Source organism: Homo sapiens, chromosome 6 (genome assembly GCF_000001405.40).
Source record: "Homo sapiens chromosome 6, GRCh38.p14 Primary Assembly".
In the NCBI taxonomy this organism is placed as follows: Eukaryota; Metazoa; Chordata; class Mammalia; order Primates; family Hominidae; genus Homo; species Homo sapiens.
In genome coordinates, this window is record NC_000006.12 from 40968628 (window position 1) to 40986356 (window position 17729).

A 17729-nucleotide genomic window follows, 5' to 3' on the forward strand; every position below is an offset into this window, starting at 1 on the left:
TGGTAGTCAAGATCCCTGACCTTAGGAAGCTTCCAGTCTGGCCAGGAAACATCAGAGAACTAACATTTCTATAGCACTTTACCATGAACCAGTCACTCTTCTAGGTGCTTTACACTGAGTAACTCATTTACCCTTCATAGCAATTCTAGGAGATAAGTACTGCTGTTTTCCCCATTTCACAGATGAAGAAACTGAGGCTACAGAAGTTAAGTAACTTCCTCAAGCTCAGTGGTGGAGCCAGCCATCTGACCCACAGAAGCAAGTTGCTGGAGGCAGGCTTTTGGGACCACAGACTGGGAAGATGATATCTTCACCAGTGAAGATTTCCAAGGCCAACATCACATGGCCAAATTGCATCACCCCATGGCCCTGGGCTCTTCTCCCTGTTCACACTAAAACTCAGAAACATTTATTCATGGGGGGAGTAGTCAGCACACTGGTTGCTCAGGTCTGAGAATGCCAGGGCTGAGCTAGCAGGGTTTGCAGGTCCCAAGGCAATTTGCATCTCCTGTTGGAAGTCTTCCTCATCAAAGCAACGGAAATCAATGCAGTAAATAGTTATAATGAACTGACCTGCTCACACTCCCTGTCTCTTCCTGAGGAAGAGGAATCATGAGAGACACATTGTTTCCAAATCCTTCACCTCTTTCCCCCTCGCCTGATCCTCCCACAGGGAATCCTCTTTGCTCCTGTCAACAGTGTTTGAGATGTTTCAGAGTTTTTATTGGATCTTCATTGTAGCTCTGTCTGTGAGGATTCAGTGAAGCTAAGATTTAAGGGCCAGAGAGAGTTGAAACTTCTACCAAGCATCAGCCATGGCTGCCCTGCTTTCCAGAGTACTGTCCACGGACCTCTGGGCCTCAGGGACTAGAGAATGTCAGGGGACCATCTCATTTCATACATGTAAAAACTGAGGCACGGAGAGGGCAGGACCACCCAGCACAGGATCAGCACACCTCTCCAACATCAGTACACCCCACCTTTTCAGGCAGATACAGGAATCTCCTCCGCAGCAAAGTGTTGATAGGTGGGAAGCAGTGCTGTGATGCCCTTAGCTTTGGCATCCAAATGCTTGAGTTTTAATGCCTGACCCACCATTTCCTTGCTGTACAAGACCTTGAGAAAGCTAATTAACCTCTCAGTAACTGTTTTCTCATATATAAAACAGGGATGAAAATAAAAGTATGTGCTCCATTGAGTTGTTGGAAGCTTTAATAAACACAGGAAAAAAATTAGAATTGTGTCTACCATGTAGTAAGTATTCAATAAATGTCAGTGACTATGCCCATGATGAATATGGTGAATATGATTATGATGATCATGGGCATTATCCCTGGTGCTAAGAGTCACTTCTACAGGAGTTTAGCTTGCCCTGACCTAGAACATTGAGGCAGGGCATGAACTCAATGTTGCACTGAGAACCAGTCTAACACAGGAATGTTTTCTCTGTTTCACAGGTGTCAGTCATGTTCTCTGGATAAATGATAAGATTGAAAGTCCTTGAAGGCAGGAGACAGCCCCAGATATCGTTTTGTTGTCTGACACAATACCAAGCACAAATGATGTGCCTAAATCCTGGGTCTTTAACCCAAGGCCATCTACATATGCCCTGGGCCTGCCAGCTCATGAAAACCAGCCTCTGTGGCAGTTGGGGTGCTAAGGAATTGCTCCAGTTGAGCTTCACTGGTTTTTACTCTTGGCTGTCATGCTTGGATCTCTTGATTATGTTCCATCAGTTCACCCCCTGCCTCTGGGCTGAAAGATTTGGTGTTCTTTCTAAGTTTTCTTGCATGATTTGTGGCTTAGAACGTCTTTCCCGTACATCTCTAGCCCTTTCCATCTCAAATGTTGACTCAGATTATTGGCTCAGGGCAAAGCCACTGGCTCCAGCTCTTAACCCTGTAGAATCTCACCTATCCCTGGCACCCAACATAGACATCCACCCCTTCAACTCCACCAAGCTAGGGAGTAGAGAGTAGTTGTCTTTTCCATCCATTCTCTCCCTTCCCCTCCTTGTCTAATTTCTAAGAGTTAAGAGTGGGCACTTTTCCAACATTTCCGTGGTTACGGGTAACTATGTCACTCAATCCTGGCCACATGAGGTGGGACACTAGCCCACTGGAAGAGTTTTCTTCTTAATAGAAGAGAGAAATCTGTAAGAATAATCCCCCACTGTTCCTACCTTGGGTGCTATTATGTGAGGCCTTGATGCTTGAACCTGTGGCAATGATCTTGCAACATGAGGAAAGGGTCACAAGAATTGCAGAGATACTGACTGGAGCCCTGAGCTGTTAAATAAACCAACTCCAAACCAATGGGAATGGGGTATGGAACCACCAGTCTCTAGATTTTCTGTGACAAGGAACAATTAAGCTTCCATATTTCTTAAGCCTATTTTAGTCAAGAGCTCAGTTAGTTGCAGGCAGAAGCATTCCAAAGTTTTATCAAGTAAGCATCAATTTGCCTATCACAAACTTTATCAAGGTGTTGGTAGATTCTACCTTGTAGACATAATGTGATCTACTAGGAATCTATGTAGAAAATTCAAGAATCCAAGAATTTGGGAGAAAACTTAAAAGTCGTCCATATCTGACATATAGATCAATGGAATAAAATGGAGGGTCCAGAAACAAACTCTCATATTTATGGTCAACTGATTCTCAACAAGGGTGCTAAGAAAATTCAATGGGGGAAATAATAGGCTTTTTGCCAAATAGTGCTAGATAACAGAATATATCCACATGCAAAATATGAATTCAGAACCCTATCACACACCATATAAAAAAATAGCTCAAATGGATCAAATATCTAAATGTAAGCACTAAGACTACTAAACTTTAAAAGAGAATGCATGTATAAATCCATGACCTTGGATTAGGCAATGGTTTCTTAGATATGACACCAAAAGCAATCAAAGAAAAAGACATATAAATTGGACATTAACAAAATTTAAAAATGTTGTGCTTCAAAGAACATCATCAAGAAAATTTAAAAAACCTTGAATACTGTATATATTTTCTCCAAAAAAGTTACACAAATAGCCAATAAGCTCACAATGTGCTTCTCTGCTGAGCCCAGAGAGAGCAAGATACTACTACTCAACTAGCCCTTTAGACAGCCACCACAAACACATACGAACGGGCACATGGGATGAAATGTGTTTACCATTCCCAATCTAGGACAACGGTACCCAAAGGAAATGTTGGTGACTATGCCCATGATGAATGCTTATAAACCAACATTTCCTTTGTTTTGTAAAACATTTGAAGCCATGTCCATGGACACAGAGGAAACCATGACGGCACCAGAATGTCTATTTCTGTCCTTGAGATGATGCTAAGACTAGGATATCCCTGTGTCTAGGAACTCACTACTATTGTACTGGTGTAGCTCAGTCCATCTTTGAGGAACAAAAAGAAGTTCTATTTTTTTATTTCAACTTTTATTTCAGATTCAGAGGGTACATGTGCAGGTTTGTTGCAAGGGTATATTGCATGATGCTGAGGTTTGGGGTACAATTGAACTCATCATCCAGGTAGTGAGTATAGTACCCAATAGGTAGTTTTTCAACCCTTGCCCCTCTCCTTCCATCCCTCTCTTGTAGTCCCCAGCATCTAGTGTTCCCATCTTTATGCCATGTATACTCAATGTTTAGCTCCCGCTTATAAGTGAGAACACGCAGTATTTGGTTTTCTGATTCTGTATTAATTCTCTTAGGATTATGGCATCCAGCTGCATCCATGTTGCTGCAAAGGACATAATCTCATTATTTTTTATGGCTGTATAGTATTCCATGGTACATATGTACCACATATTATTTATCCAATCCACTGCTGATGAGCACCTAAGTTGATTCCATGCCTTTCCTATTGTGAATAGTGCTGTGATGAACATACGAGTACAAGTGTCCTTTTGGTAGAATATTTATTTTCCTTTGGGTATATCCCCAGTAATGATATTGCTAAGTTGAATGATAGCTCTATTTTTAGTTATTTGAGAAATCTCCTAACAGCTTTCCACAGTGCCTGAACTAATTTACACTCCCACCAACAGTGCAAAAGCATTGCCTATTCTCCGCAACCTCGCCAACATCTGTTGTTTTTTTACTTTTTAGTAATAGCCATTCTGACTGATGTGAGATGGTATTTCATAGTGGTTCTTATTTATATTTCTCTGACGATTAGTGATGTGGACCATTTTTTATATGTTTCTTGGCCACTCGTATGTCTTCTTTTGAAAAGTGTCTGTTCATGTCCTTTACCCACTGTATAATGAAGTTGTTTTTCACTTGTTGATTTGTTTAAGTTCCTTATAGACCTTTGTCAGGTGCATACCTTGCGAATATTTTTTCCCTTTCTGCAGGTTGTCTGTTTACTCTGTTGATAGTTTCTTTTGTTGTGCAGAAGCTCTTTAGTTTAATTAAGTCCTACTTGTCAATATTTGTTTTTGTTGCAATTGTTTTTGAGGACTTAGTCATAAATTCTTTGCCAAGGCCAATGTCCAAAAGGGTATTTCCTAGATTTTTTTCTAGGGTTTTTATAGGTCGAGGTCTCAGATTTAAGTCTTTCATCCATCTTGAGTTAAGTGATAAGTGCACACAAATTAAGGTTTTTTTAAGTATTTTTAACTTTTTTAAAGTATTTTTTAGGTATTTTTAACCCTTATTTTAGATTCAAGGGTACATGGGCAGGTTTGTTACATAGGTAAATTCATATCACAGGAGTTTGTTGTATGGATTATTTTGTCACGCAGGTATTATGCCTCGTACAAAACAGTTTTTTTTTCTGCTCTTCTCCCTCTTCTCTTCTTCCACTCTCAGGTATGCCCTGATGTCTGTTGTTGCCCTCTTTGTGTCCATGTGCTCTCATCATTTAGCTCCCACTTATACGTGAGAACACGTGGTATTTGGTTTTCTGTTCCTGAGTTAGTTTGCTAAGGATACTGGCCTCCAGTTCCAACCATGTTCCTGCAAAGGGCATAGTCTCATTATTTTTTATGGCTTTGTAGTATTCCATGGAGTATTGTACCACATTTTCTTTATCCAATCTACTGTTTAGGTTAATTCCATGTCCTTGCTACTGTGAATAATGCTGTGACAAACATACACATGCAGGTGTCTTTATGGTAGAATAATTTACATTCTTTTGCGTATATACCCAGTAGTGGGATTGCTGGGTTGAATGGCAGTTCTGTTTTTAGCTCTTTGAGAAATTGCCACACTGCTTTCCACAATGGTTGAACTAATTTACACTCCTACCAACAGTGTGTAAGCGTCCCCTTTTCTCTGCAACCTTGCCAGCATCAGTTATTTTTTGACGTTGTAGTAATAGCTATTGTGACTGGTGTGAAATGGTATCTCACTGTGGTTTTGATTTGCAATCCTGTAATGATCAGTGATGTTGAGCTTTTTTTATATGCTTGTTGGGCACACGTATGTCTTCTTTTGGAAAGTATCTGTTCATGTCCTTTGCCCACTTTTTAATGGGGTTGTTTGTTTTGTTCTTGTAAATTTGTTTAAGTTCCTTACAAATGCTGGATATTTTTAGGTCTTTGTCAGATGCATAGTTTGCAAATATTGTCTTCTATTCTGTAAGTTTTCTGTTTACTCTGTTAGTTTATTTTGCTGTGCAGAAGCTATTTAATTAGATCCCATTTGTCAATTTCTGCTTTTGTTGCAATTGCTTTTGGTATCTTCATCATGAAATCATTGCCTGTGCCTATGTCCAGCATGGTATTTCCTAGGTTGTCTTCTAGGGGTTTTATAGTTCGGGATTTTACATTTAAGTCTTTGATCCATCTTGAGTTGATTTTTGTATATGGTGTAAGGAAGGGGTCCAGTCTCAATCTTCCACATATGGCTAGCCAGTTATCCCAGCACCATTTATTGAGTAGGTTTTCCCTCTTGCTTGTTTTTGTCAGCTTTGTCAAAGGTGTGCAGCCTTACTTCTGGGCTCTCTACTCTGTTCTATTGGTCTATGTGTCTGTTTTTTACCAGTACCATACTGTTCTGGTTACTGTAATCCAGTAGTATAGTTTGAAGTCAGGTAATGTGATGCCTCCAGTTTTATTCTTTTTGCTCAGGATTGCTTTGGCTATTCAGGCTCATTTTGGTTCCATATGAATTTTTAAACAGTTTTTTCTAGTTCTGTGAAGAGTGTAATTGGTAGTTTGATAGAAATAGCATTGAATCTATAAAAATTTCTTCAGGCAGTATGGCCATTTTTACAATATTGATTCTTTCCACCCGCAAGCATGGAATGTTTTTCCACTTGTTTGTGTCATCTCTGATTTCTTTGAGCAGTGTTTTGTAATTCTCATTGTAAAGATCTTTTACTTTCCTAGTTAGCTGTATCCATTCTTTAGGTCTTTTATTCTTTTTGTGGAAATTGTGAATAGGATAGCATTCTTGATTTGGCTCAGGGCCTGGTTGTTGTTGGTGTATAGGAATACTAATTATTTTTATATGAATACATTGATTTTGCATCCTAAAACTTTGCTGGAGTTGTTTATCAGCTTAAGGAGCTTTGGACTGAGACTATGGGATTTTGTAGATACAGCATCATGTCATCTGCAAACAGAGATAGTTTTACTTCCTCTCTTCCTATCTGGGTGCTTTTTATTGCTTTATCTTTCCTGATTGCTCTGGCCAGGACTTCCAATAGTACGTTGAATAGGAGTAGTGAAAGAGGGCATACTTTTCTTTTTCTGCTTCTCATGGGAAATGCTTCCAGCTTTTGCCCATTCAGTAAATGTTGGCCGTGGGTTTGTCATAGATTGTTCTTATTATTTTGAGGTACATTCCTTCAATACCTAGTTTGTTGAGAGTTTTTAACATGAAGGGATTTTGAGTTTTATTGAAAGCCTTTTCTGCATCTACTGAGGTGATCATGCGGTTTTTGTCTTTAGTTCTGTCTATTTGATGAATCATGTTTATTGATTTGTGTATGTTGCACCAACCTTGCATCCCAGGGATGAAGCCTACTTGATCATGGTGGATTAGCTTTTTGATGTGCTGCTGGATTTGGTTTGATAGTATTTTGTTAAGGATTTTTGCATCAATGTTCATCAGGGATATTAGCCTCAACTTTTCTATTTTGTTATTGTTGTGTCTCTGCCAGGTTTTGGTATCAGGATGATGCTGACCTTATAGAATGAATTGGGGAGGAGTCCCTCCTCTTCAATTGTTTTGGAAGAGTTTCAGTAAGAATGGTACCAATTCTGGTAGAATTTGGCTGTGAATCCCTCTGGTCCTGGACTTTTTTTATTGGTATGCTATTTATAACTGATTCCATTTGAGAGCTTGTTATTGGTCTGTTCAGGGATTCAATTTATTCCTGGTTCAGTCTTGGGAGGGTGTATGTGTCCAGGAATGTATCCATCTCTTCTAGATTTTCCAGTTTGTTTGCATAGAGGTGTTCATAGTAGTCTCTGATGGTTCTTTCTATTTCTGTGGGGTCAGTGATAATATCCCCTTTGTCATTTCTAATTGTGTTTATTTGGATCTTCTCTCTTTTCTTTATCAGTCTAGCTAGCAGTCTATCTATTTTATTATTTTTTTCAAAAAAAACTAACTCCTGGATTAATTGATCTTTTGGATGGATTTTTGTGTCTCAATCACTTTCAGTGCAATATGATTTTGGTTATTTCTTGTCTTCTGCTAATTTTGGGGTTGCTTTGCTCTTGCTTCTCTAGTTCTTTTCATTGTGATGTTAGGTTGTTAATTTGAGAACTTTCTAACTTTTTGATGTGGGCATTTAACGCTATAAATTTCTCTCTTAACTCTACCTTAGCTGTGTCAAAGAGATTCTGGTGTGTTGTATCTTTGTTCTTGTTAGCTTCAAAGAACTTTTTATTTCTGCCTTAATTTCATTATTTAACCAAAAGTCACTCAGGATCAGGTTGCTTAATTTCCATGTAATTGTATGGTTTTGAGTGATTTTCTTAGTCAAATTCTATTTTTATTGCTCTGTGATCTGAGAGAGTGGTTGGTATGATTTTGGTTCTTTTGCATTTGCTGAGGATTGTTCTATGTCCAACTGTGTGGTCAATTTTAGAGTACATGATATGTGGTTATGCGAAGAATGTATATTATGTTATTTGAGGGTAGAGAGTTCTGTAGATGTGTGTCAGGTCCATTTGGTCCACTGTTGAATTCAGGTCCTAAATATCTGTGTTAATTTTCTGCCTCAATGATCTGTCTTATACTGTCAGTAGGGTATTGAAATTTCCCACTATTATTGTATGTGAGTCTAAGTTTCTTCGTACTTGCTTTATGAATCTGTGTGCTCTTGTGTTAGGTGCTGCATATATATTTAGAATAGTTAGGTCTTCTTGTTGAATTGAACCCTTCACCATTATATAATGCCCTTCTTTGTCTTTTTCTTTATTTTTGTTGTTTTAATGTCTGTTTTGTCTGAAATTAGGATCACAACTCCTGCTTTTTTCAGTTTTACATTTTCTTGGTAGATTTTTCTCTATCCCTTTATTTTGAGCCTATGGGTGTCATTGCATATGAAATGGATCTCTTGAAGACAAGATATTATTGGGTCTTGCTTCTTTATCCAGCTTGCCACTCTGTGTCTTTTAATTGGAACATTTAGCCCATTTGCCTTCAAGGTTAGTATTGATATGTGTGGATTTGATCCCGTCATCATGTTGTTAGGTGGTAATTATGTCAACTTGTTTGTGTGGTAGCTTTATGATGTCACTGGTCTGTGTACTTGTGTTTTTGTAGCGGCTGGTAATAGTCTTTCCTTTCCATATTTAGTGCTTCTTTCGGGACTCCTTGTAAGGCAGGTCTGGTGGCAATGAATTGCCTCAACTTTGCTTGTCTAAAAAGGATTTTACTTCTCTTTCGCTTGTGAAGCTTAGTTTGGCCAGATCTAAAATCCTTGGTTGGAATTTCTTTTATTTAAGAATGTTGAATATAGGCCCCCAATCTCTTCTGGCTTGTAGGGTTTCTGCTTAGAGGTCCACGTTAGTCTGATGGGCTTCCCTTTGTAAGTGACCTGTCCTTTCTCCATAGTTGCCTTTAACATTTTTTTCTTTCATTTCAACCCTGGAGAATCTGACGGTTGTGTCTTGGGGAATTATCTTTTTGTGAAGTTTTTGCAGGGGCTCTCTGCATTTCCTAAAGTTTAATGTTGGCCTCTCTAGCTATGTTGGGGAAGTTCTCACGGATGATATCCTGAAATATGTTTTCCAAGTTGCTTCCATTCTCCCCATCCTTTTCAGGGATGCTAATGAGTCACAGATTCAGTCTCTCTACATAGTATCATATTTCTCAGAGGTTTTATTCATTCCTTTTCATTCTCTCTTCTTTATTCTTGTCTGACTGTCTCATTTCAGAAAGCCAGTCTTCAAGCTCTGAGATTTTTTTCTTAGCCTGGTCTATTCTACTGTTAATACTTGGAATAGCATTATGAAATTCTTGTAATACATTTACAATTACCAGCCCTGTCAAGTCAGTTATGTTATTTTCTATACTGGCTATTTTTTCTGTCAGTTCCTGTATCATTTTATTGTAATTCTTAGCTTCCTTAGGTTGTGTTTCAACATTCTCCTGACTGTTGATGATCTTCATTTCTACCCATATTCTGAATTCTAGTTCTGTCATTTCAGCCATCTCAGCCCAGTTAAGAACACTTGCTGGAGAACTAATGTGGTTGTTTGGAGGAAAGAAGACACTCTGCGTTTTTGAGTTGTCAGAGTTCTTGTGCTAGTTCTTTCTCATCTGTGTGGGCTGATGTTCCTTCAGTCTTTGAAGTTGCTGACCTTTGGATTTTTTTTTTCTTTTATCCTATTTGATGACCTTAGGGGTTTGATTGTGGCATAAGGTGGATTCAGTCAACTGGCTTCATTTCTAAAAGATTTTAGGGAGCCAAGTCTCAGCTCAGGACTCCTGGGCCACATTCTCTAACTCTGGGAGACTGGTATTGAGCCCCAGCTTTGTTCCCTGACTCCTCGAGGTTAGGAACCTGATGCACTGGGGGGGCCAAGATGCTGCTGGACCACTGGTCACAGTGCTCTGGTGGATGGTGCCAGCCAAAGCACTTCACAGGGCAGTGGTAGTGAGCTCTGTCCTCATTTGCACATGCCAGTAGCAGTGCAGTGGCAGTGCAGCAGGGTGCATGCTCAGCTGCAGCAGGGTGTTAGTGGGTACTGGGGTGCTGGCCTCTGTGCAAGTGTTCACAGCAGCAGCAGTGGCAGCACAGCTTGGGGTGGGCCCCACTGGACACTGGGCAACTGTGCATGCATTAACACCAATGGTGGTGTTAGCATGGAGACAGGGTGCTAGTGGGGGCAGGACTGTGTGTACCCTTGTGCACGTACATGAGGGCAGCAGTGGCTACCCAGGGTGGGGACGGGTCCACTGTTTCAGCTGGGGTCAGGCATTGGCAGGCAAGGCTAGCAGGCTTCATGCCTACTAATACTCTGACAACAATGGCAGTTGGGGGGGCAGTGCACTCAAGTCAGCAGCAGTGGCATGTCAGGGTGCCTGCACACACATATCCTTGTGGAGAAGGAAAGGCAAAGTCCACCTGCACAAGGTCCACATGTGCTGGCAAAGTGATGTGGGGAGACCCTGGGTGAGTATATACAGGCAAAGTGGCACAGGGGAGGCTACAGTAGGGGAAGAGCAGGGGTGGAGTTAGTGTGTGTCCACGGGTGGCTCTGCTGGAGCACTCTGCCGGTCAGGTACAGCCTGCCAGCCCTGAAGCTATGATGCAGGCCAAGGCAGTACCTGAGGGCTGCACTGCAAGCAGTTGTGGCCAGGCTGGGGCCTCAGGAGAGGCCATCAGACTAAGGGGTGCTCAGATCAGACTAGTCCTGTCTCATGGGCAAGACCACCCTGCAGTTCCAGTCTAACAGTTCCCCTAGGGCTATAGTCTCTTATGGCAGCAAGTTGAGCCTAAGAGGATGGGCATCCCTGGCCATGCTTCACTACAGATGCCCCTACACCAAACCCTCTGGGCTCCACACTACCTGGAGTTCTTCCCCATCTCTTCTCTAAGCAGCAATTCCTGCCAATTCAAGTGTCCATGGTAGTCGAGTGGTCACCTCCTGGTGGAATTCCAGAGGCCCAAGGTTAGAGCAGGTTGCTCCTTGCCTGTTGAACTCACCCCTTCATGCAGGCATCATTGAGGGGCAGGAACGAGTCCCAGTGTGCAGAAGCCCCTTGCAGGGTTCCCAGCTTCCTCCTGCTTCAGCCCAGCCTCTGTGTCTTCCTTATATTCACCCTGAATGCCTTCCCTCTGAAGACATGCTAGGAGTGCACCAGTCTTCCTGATATCCCAGTCTCTCGGTGAGAGATGTTCCTCCTGGCTGTGTCTAGTCAGCAGCCATCTTGGAGCTAGTCCTCTGAGCTCAGTTTCATTCTTCTGCATATGGATAGTCAGTTACTCCAGCACCATTTATTGAATACGGACTTTCTCCATTGCTTATTTTTGTCAACTTTGTCAAAGATCAGTTGGTTGTAGCTATGCAGCTTTATTTCTGGGTTTTCTATTCTGTTCCATTGGTCTATGTGTCTGTTTTTGTACCAGTACCATGCTGTTTTGGTCACTGTAGCCTTGTAGTATAGTTTGAAGTCAGGTAATGTGATGCCTCTGGCTTTGTTCTTTTTGCTTAGGATTGCTTTGGATATTTGGGCTCTTTTTTTTTTTGGTTCCATAAGGATTTTAGAAGTTTTTTCTAATTCCGTGAAAAATGACATTGGTAGTTTGATCAGAATAGCATTGAATCTGAAGATTGTTTTGGCAGTATGGACTTTTTAAAGAATTGATTCTTCCAATTCATGAGTATGGAATGTTTTTCCATTTGTTTGTGTCATCTATGATTTCTTTCAGAAGTGTTTTGTAGTTTTTCTTGTAGAGATGTTTCACTTCCTTGGTTAGATGTATTCCTAGGTATTTGTGTGTGTGTGTGTGGCGATTGTAAATGAGATTAGGTTCTTGATTTAACGCTCAGCTTGAACATTATTGGTGTATAGAAATGCTGGTGATTTTTGTACATTGATTTTGTATCCTGAAACTTTACTGAAGTCATTTATCAGTTCCAGGAGCCTTTTGGCAGAGTCTTTAGGGTTTTCTAGGTATAGAAACATATCATCAGTGAAGAGAAATAATTCGTCTTCCTCTTTTCCTATTTGGATGCCTTTTATCTTTTCTCTTGCCAGATTGCTCTGGCTAGGACTTCCAGTACTATGTTGAATAGGAGTGGTGAGAGTGGGCATCCTTGTCTTATTCTAGTTCTTGAGGGGAATGCTTCCAGGAAAAAGTTCTATTTCACAAGCAATCAAAGAAATGTAAAACAAAGCAATGAACATTTGTTTTTCATCCATAATATTAACAATTAGTTAAAATATAATATTCAGTGGTGGCAAGGGTATGGTAAGATAGACTCAAGTTCTCACTGGAATAAAATGTAGTCCATCTGTAGAATAAAGTTGAACAATGTGCTCTTAAACCCAGGCATTCCATCCTTATTCTTATCATAAAACTCAGAGATTAAGATGGGTGTTAATTATATAAAGTCATTAATCAAGATTCTTATTGTACAAGCCAGTAATTGAAACAACTTGTATATGCAGCAAGAAGGGAATTGTTGACCTTATGGAAGAGTAGAATGATAGATGCCAGCAGCTGGAAATGGGTGGGGGGAATGAAAAGAGGTTGGTTAATGGGTATAAACCTACATTTAGACAGAAGGAATAAGTCCTACATTTAGGTAGGAATAAACCTACATTTAGATAGAAGGAATAAGTCCTAGTGGACACAGTAAGGTGACTATAGTAAACAATTTATTGTATATTTCAAAATAGCTAAAAGGGAAGACTTGAAATGTTTTGAACACAAAGAATTAATAAATGTTTGAGGTGATGGATATCCTAAATACCTTCATTTGATCAGTACACATCACATGCATGTATCAAAATATCACATGTACCCCATAAATATGTATAATTATCTATGAATAAAAAAAGAAAAGAAAGAGGGGAATGGTTACATAAGTTATAATATACCTATATGCTAGAATGGATTTTGAAATAGTTGGATGGCATCACCATATAACGTTACATTTAAAAACCAGGGTTCCAGCCAGGCATGGTGGCTCACACCTGTAATCCTAACACTTTGGGAGGCCAAGGCAGGCAGATCACCTGAGGTCAGAAGTTCAAGACCAGCCTGGCCAACATGGTGAAACCCCGTCTCTACTAAAACTATAAAAATTAGCCAGGTGTGGTGGTGGGCACCTGCAATCCCAGCTACTCAGGACGCTGAGGCAAAAGAATCACTTGAAACCAGGAGGCAGAGGTTGCAGTGAGCTGAGATTGTGCCACTGCACTTTAGCCTGGGCGACAGAGCAAGACCCTGTCTCAAAAAGAAAAAACCAGGGTCCAACATTAAAATGTACATGATTTCTAATTACATAAAAATCTTTGCTAATTCATAGAAATGTGACTGGAAAGAAATACAACAAAGCACTGATAATCACAGTTACTGGACAGTGGGATGAACAGTAATGCATATTTCTGTCTGTATTCTTTCCTATACTCTCCACATTTTCTCAAATAATCATGTTTTCTTTTTTAGAGGAAAAACAGCATTATTACAAAAAAGAAAGGAGCCAAAGATCTTAAGTCACCATGGCTCCTTCTATTGCCCGCTGAGCTGTGTCTCCCAAGCTCACTGACCTTCAGAGGCTTTGTTCATAAAATAAGGACAATGGTATCTAAGAGTCTTCACAGAATTGCTGTGAAGATAAAATAAGAAAACGACATGCTTTGTAAATTGTAAAGCATTGTACAAATGTTAGCTGTTACTAACATTATAACACAGAATTAATTCCAATAATCTGAGAGAAGAGAAAAGAAATTCATAATAAGATACCTCAGGCTTTGACATAGGAACTAGGAAAATACAAGAATAAGCTAAGAATAGAAAGAAGTAAAACATCCACAGGAATCCTGGAGAATGTTCACTAGCATATCTCAGGAAGCTCAGAGAAAACATTTAACAAGAAGCCAAAAAAAAAAAAATTCACAAGGCAACCAAATATTAACAGCACTGCTTGGCTAACAAGCCACACATGATATTTTGTCTTTAGGTTTTTTAGCTTTCTGTTTTGTTTCATTTTGTTTTTTCAAGTCTTCTGAAAATTGAGAAATGATCAAGTTGGGAGAATGGAGGAGTTCACTCATTGTGACAGGCAGATAAAAATTAGAGATAACTTAGGTCAAAATCTATTGAAGAAGCATCTTGCTCCAAAAGTCAAAATCAGCACCCAGAGGGAGAAAACTGGAGGACAGAGAGGGCACTTAATGATCACAGGGCCAGGACTGGACTCAGAAATGACAAGGACCCAGCAAAAGGATTCAAATTCTTTACCTTGCAAAGGAAAATGCCTGTGGCCACTCGTTGCTGCCCACTCCTTCCTATACAAGACTCTCCTATTCTTGCTTCTTGAGTGCTCACCTGTCCCACTCCCCTGCAGCTCCCTCTCTGACTTCCCTTCCCTCCCCACTCCACACTGTGCCTGCTCTAAGGGTCCTTTTTCACTCCCTGCTCTTGCCTATCCTCCCTGTTATTTCTCCCTGTTCTAGCTAACACCTTCAAATCTACATCTTCATGCAGGATCATTTCTCAACCCCCTTACCATCTCTCTAAATGCCTCTCAGACACACACCCCCAGAAGCCTTGCTGCCCCTGGAAACTAAGCCTGCAGCCAAATGCGTCTTCCTTTTTTTTTTTTTTTTTTTTTTTTATTATACTTTAAGTTCTAGGGTACATGTGCACAACGTGCAGGTTTGTTACGTATGTATACTTGTGCCATGTTGGTGTGCTGCACCCATTAACTCGTCATTTACATTAGGTATGTCTCCTAATGCTATCGTTCCCCTCTCCCCCAACCCCACAACAGGCCCCGGTGTGTGATGTTCCCCTTCCTGTGCGTCTTCTAAAAAAAATGCGTCTTCTAAAAAAAACGCAAACAAACCAGTGAAAGTGGGTTCAATGTATCCTTACTTGCTAGTCCTAATAACAATTCTGCTAGAAACAATTTCCTCTTGTGCTTCTTCTTCTCATCCCAAACTAAACTGATCATGTCCCAAATACTATTAATACAATCTTTCATATTTTTTTCTACCAGGCCCTTCCACCTGCCCCCATCCCAGTCCAGAGATTGATAGGTCACTGTGGCAGCTTTCTGATTACCTTCTCATCACTGCATCTCCTCTCCCCAATCACTTGTAAATGCCACTGTCAAAGGGAGTTTTGCAAGACAACACTTTCTCCTCACTTGGATTCTCCCAACAAAGGCTTTCAATGACTACCTTAAAGGCCTATTAGATAAAGAACAAATGCTTTTCCTAACATTCAAGCTCCTGAGTCCTAGCTAAGGGCTGGATGGATGGAAATGTCTTGGCCAAGTTCAAGGGTTGGGCCAAGATGGTGGCCAACATTAGATTTCAAGCATGAAGGCTAGGGATACCAGTTGTCATGAGTTAATTGTGCATGGGCAGGGCTGTTAATGGTCAAAAAAAGAGTCAAGTCTTGGGAAAGAATATAATTGTCAACATTTGAGCATAAAGAACAACCTCCCAAAGCAGAATCATTCCAGAAATGGAAAGGAACACAGAGATGAGAGGCAGGAGGGTGGGCTTCAGAAACAAGGACAGAAGCCAAAGTTGGGGCCAAAGAGGCCCTTCCCATGGGCAGATCAGAAGTGTGCTTGCTCAGAGCCCAGGAGGCTGAGGTTGGGCAACATAGTGAATGTGAAGCCAACTCTGTGGAGCACTTGCTCCCCACACAGTGCTCACTCTTCTCCATAGAATAAGGCAAGCTGTAGCTCTGAAAAAGTCAAGAGTGTAGCTTCTGGAAAATTAACCTAAAAGTATAGAAGCCACCCAAAGCATAGAAAGCATCCATTCATCAACTGATGAATGGATAGACAAAATGTTGTATATCCAATACAATGGAATATTATTCAGCCATAAAAAGGAATGAAGTATGTTGCATATTGCAACATGATAATACCTTGAAAGCATTTTATGCCAAGTGAAAGAAGCCAGAAACAAAAGGCCACATATTGTAAGATTTCATTTATATAAAATGTCCAGCATATGCAGATCTCTAGAGACAGAAAGTATCACAGATTGGTGATTGCTTAGGGCTGGGAAGATTGGGAGGCTAATGGGTAATAATTAAGAGGTATGGGGTTTCCTTTTGGGGTAATAAAAATGTTGTAAAATTGATGGTGGATGAATGTACAACTCTATACTAAAACACATTGAATTATACACTGTAAATGGTAAATTGTATGTTATATGAATTATATCTCAATAAAGCTGCTTTTTAACAAAGGTGGCAGTTGGTTCAAAGTAGACTTCAATTCTACACGACCAAAGAAAGAATCAAAAAATAAGTCAGCAAGGAAAAAGTGAATTTTATAACACCTCTATCCTGGCAGCTTGTGGAAAGCCCAAAGACGTGCTATGTAATCTTTTCTGTCTCCATTGCGAGATTATTTTCTTTTCTCTGCCCCTTGGTGCTACCTCTGCAGCTTATACATATTTCTGTTTCTCCTTCAATAGCAATAGATTATAACTGTTGGCCACCCTGGCTGCTTCCCTACTGCACACTGTGGCTCTCAGAGGACTGAGACTGTTCCCTATTGGCTCCTATATCTCTAGTCCCTGGCACAAGATTGATGCTGACTAAATAACTGTTGAATTGATATTAATGTTATAAATCCTGGTCCCTTTTATCTAAAAAATCTTACTATCTGATGAGAAACTAGTAACACTAGTTGCTGATGAGGAGAACTCAGTAGTTAGGGAGAGGGATGGGAGAGAAGCATTTTGCACACCCTTTAGTACCTCTGGAATTTCATGTATGTCAATATGTCACCTTCTCCCCAGATAAATTAATTTAATGTTTTAAATTGTTTAAAAATATATCATTTATTAGCAAAGACACAGAATTCATGCATTTGACAAAACAGAGAACTGTAGAATGTGACAAAGCTCTCAGGAGAGCAGACTCAGACAGCAAACTCTTCAGTGGGAGGCCCAGGGGAGTGGAAATCAAAGTCCCCAGGAGACCAGAGTGGAGAGAATTATAGCTCTCTTCTCATAATTCTAAGGAAGCAATTGTAGTTCTCCATTCATTCTTGGTAATGACATCAGGGTTTCTCTGCCAGCCTCAACAATCTCACCACTGCCAGTCTCAAGGCTGATACAGATTCATCCACATCATGTGGCATTCACATCCTTGCTGCCATGCCCACCTGTCCACTCAGGAGGACAGCTGCTGCAGCCAGAAACTGGGAGAGAAGACCTCATTGCTGGGCAGAATTACTCACTAACTAGTACAGCATACGAAGACCACCCTCGCCACACAAGGAGAGGCACACCTGGAAGCACTGGAAGAGAGGCTAACCTCGTCCCCCATGCCCTTTCCTCCTTTCTTTGAAGGTTTTTCCCCTCTCTTGGGACCACTTATGCACCTTAAGACCCCTGGACCCTCATGCTGCACCTCATTGTCCCTAAGCACTGACGCACATCACAGTGAGAAAATAGAAAATAATGGGACCCAAATGTCCCCAAAAGACACCAGCCCTCACAGGGAGCCAGCACCTGGTTGGGGTACACTTTGAAATGGCCTGTAGATGTCTCAGCCTCTGCCTCCTCCAAGTAAGCACCCTGAAAGCAGCTCTGCAACTCCTCA

At 40.7% G+C, this 17729-nt stretch overlaps 1 long non-coding RNA gene across 1 annotated transcript in view, besides 2 other annotated features; it reads right to left on the minus strand.

Annotated features, from left to right (window-relative positions):
• The window catches only part of LOC101929555 (uncharacterized), a 144395-nt gene that overhangs the window by 89742 nt on the left and 36924 nt on the right, over positions 1-17729 (minus strand). The gene's annotated exons all lie outside the window — the stretch shown is intronic.
• Positions 14881-15404: an enhancer, noted in NCBI's record as "OCT4-NANOG-H3K27ac-H3K4me1 hESC enhancer chr6:40951247-40951770 (GRCh37/hg19 assembly coordinates)". NCBI's record gives its function as "activates a minimal SCP1, AML or CMV promoter by ChIP-STARR-seq in naive and primed H9 embryonic stem cells {active_cell/tissue: H9 hESC(naive and primed)}" and the evidence as "EXISTENCE:reporter gene assay evidence [ECO:0000049][PMID:30033119]".
• Positions 15405-15926: an enhancer, noted in NCBI's record as "OCT4-NANOG-H3K27ac-H3K4me1 hESC enhancer chr6:40951771-40952292 (GRCh37/hg19 assembly coordinates)". NCBI's record gives its function as "activates a minimal SCP1, AML or CMV promoter by ChIP-STARR-seq in primed H9 embryonic stem cells {active_cell/tissue: H9 hESC(primed)}" and the evidence as "EXISTENCE:reporter gene assay evidence [ECO:0000049][PMID:30033119]".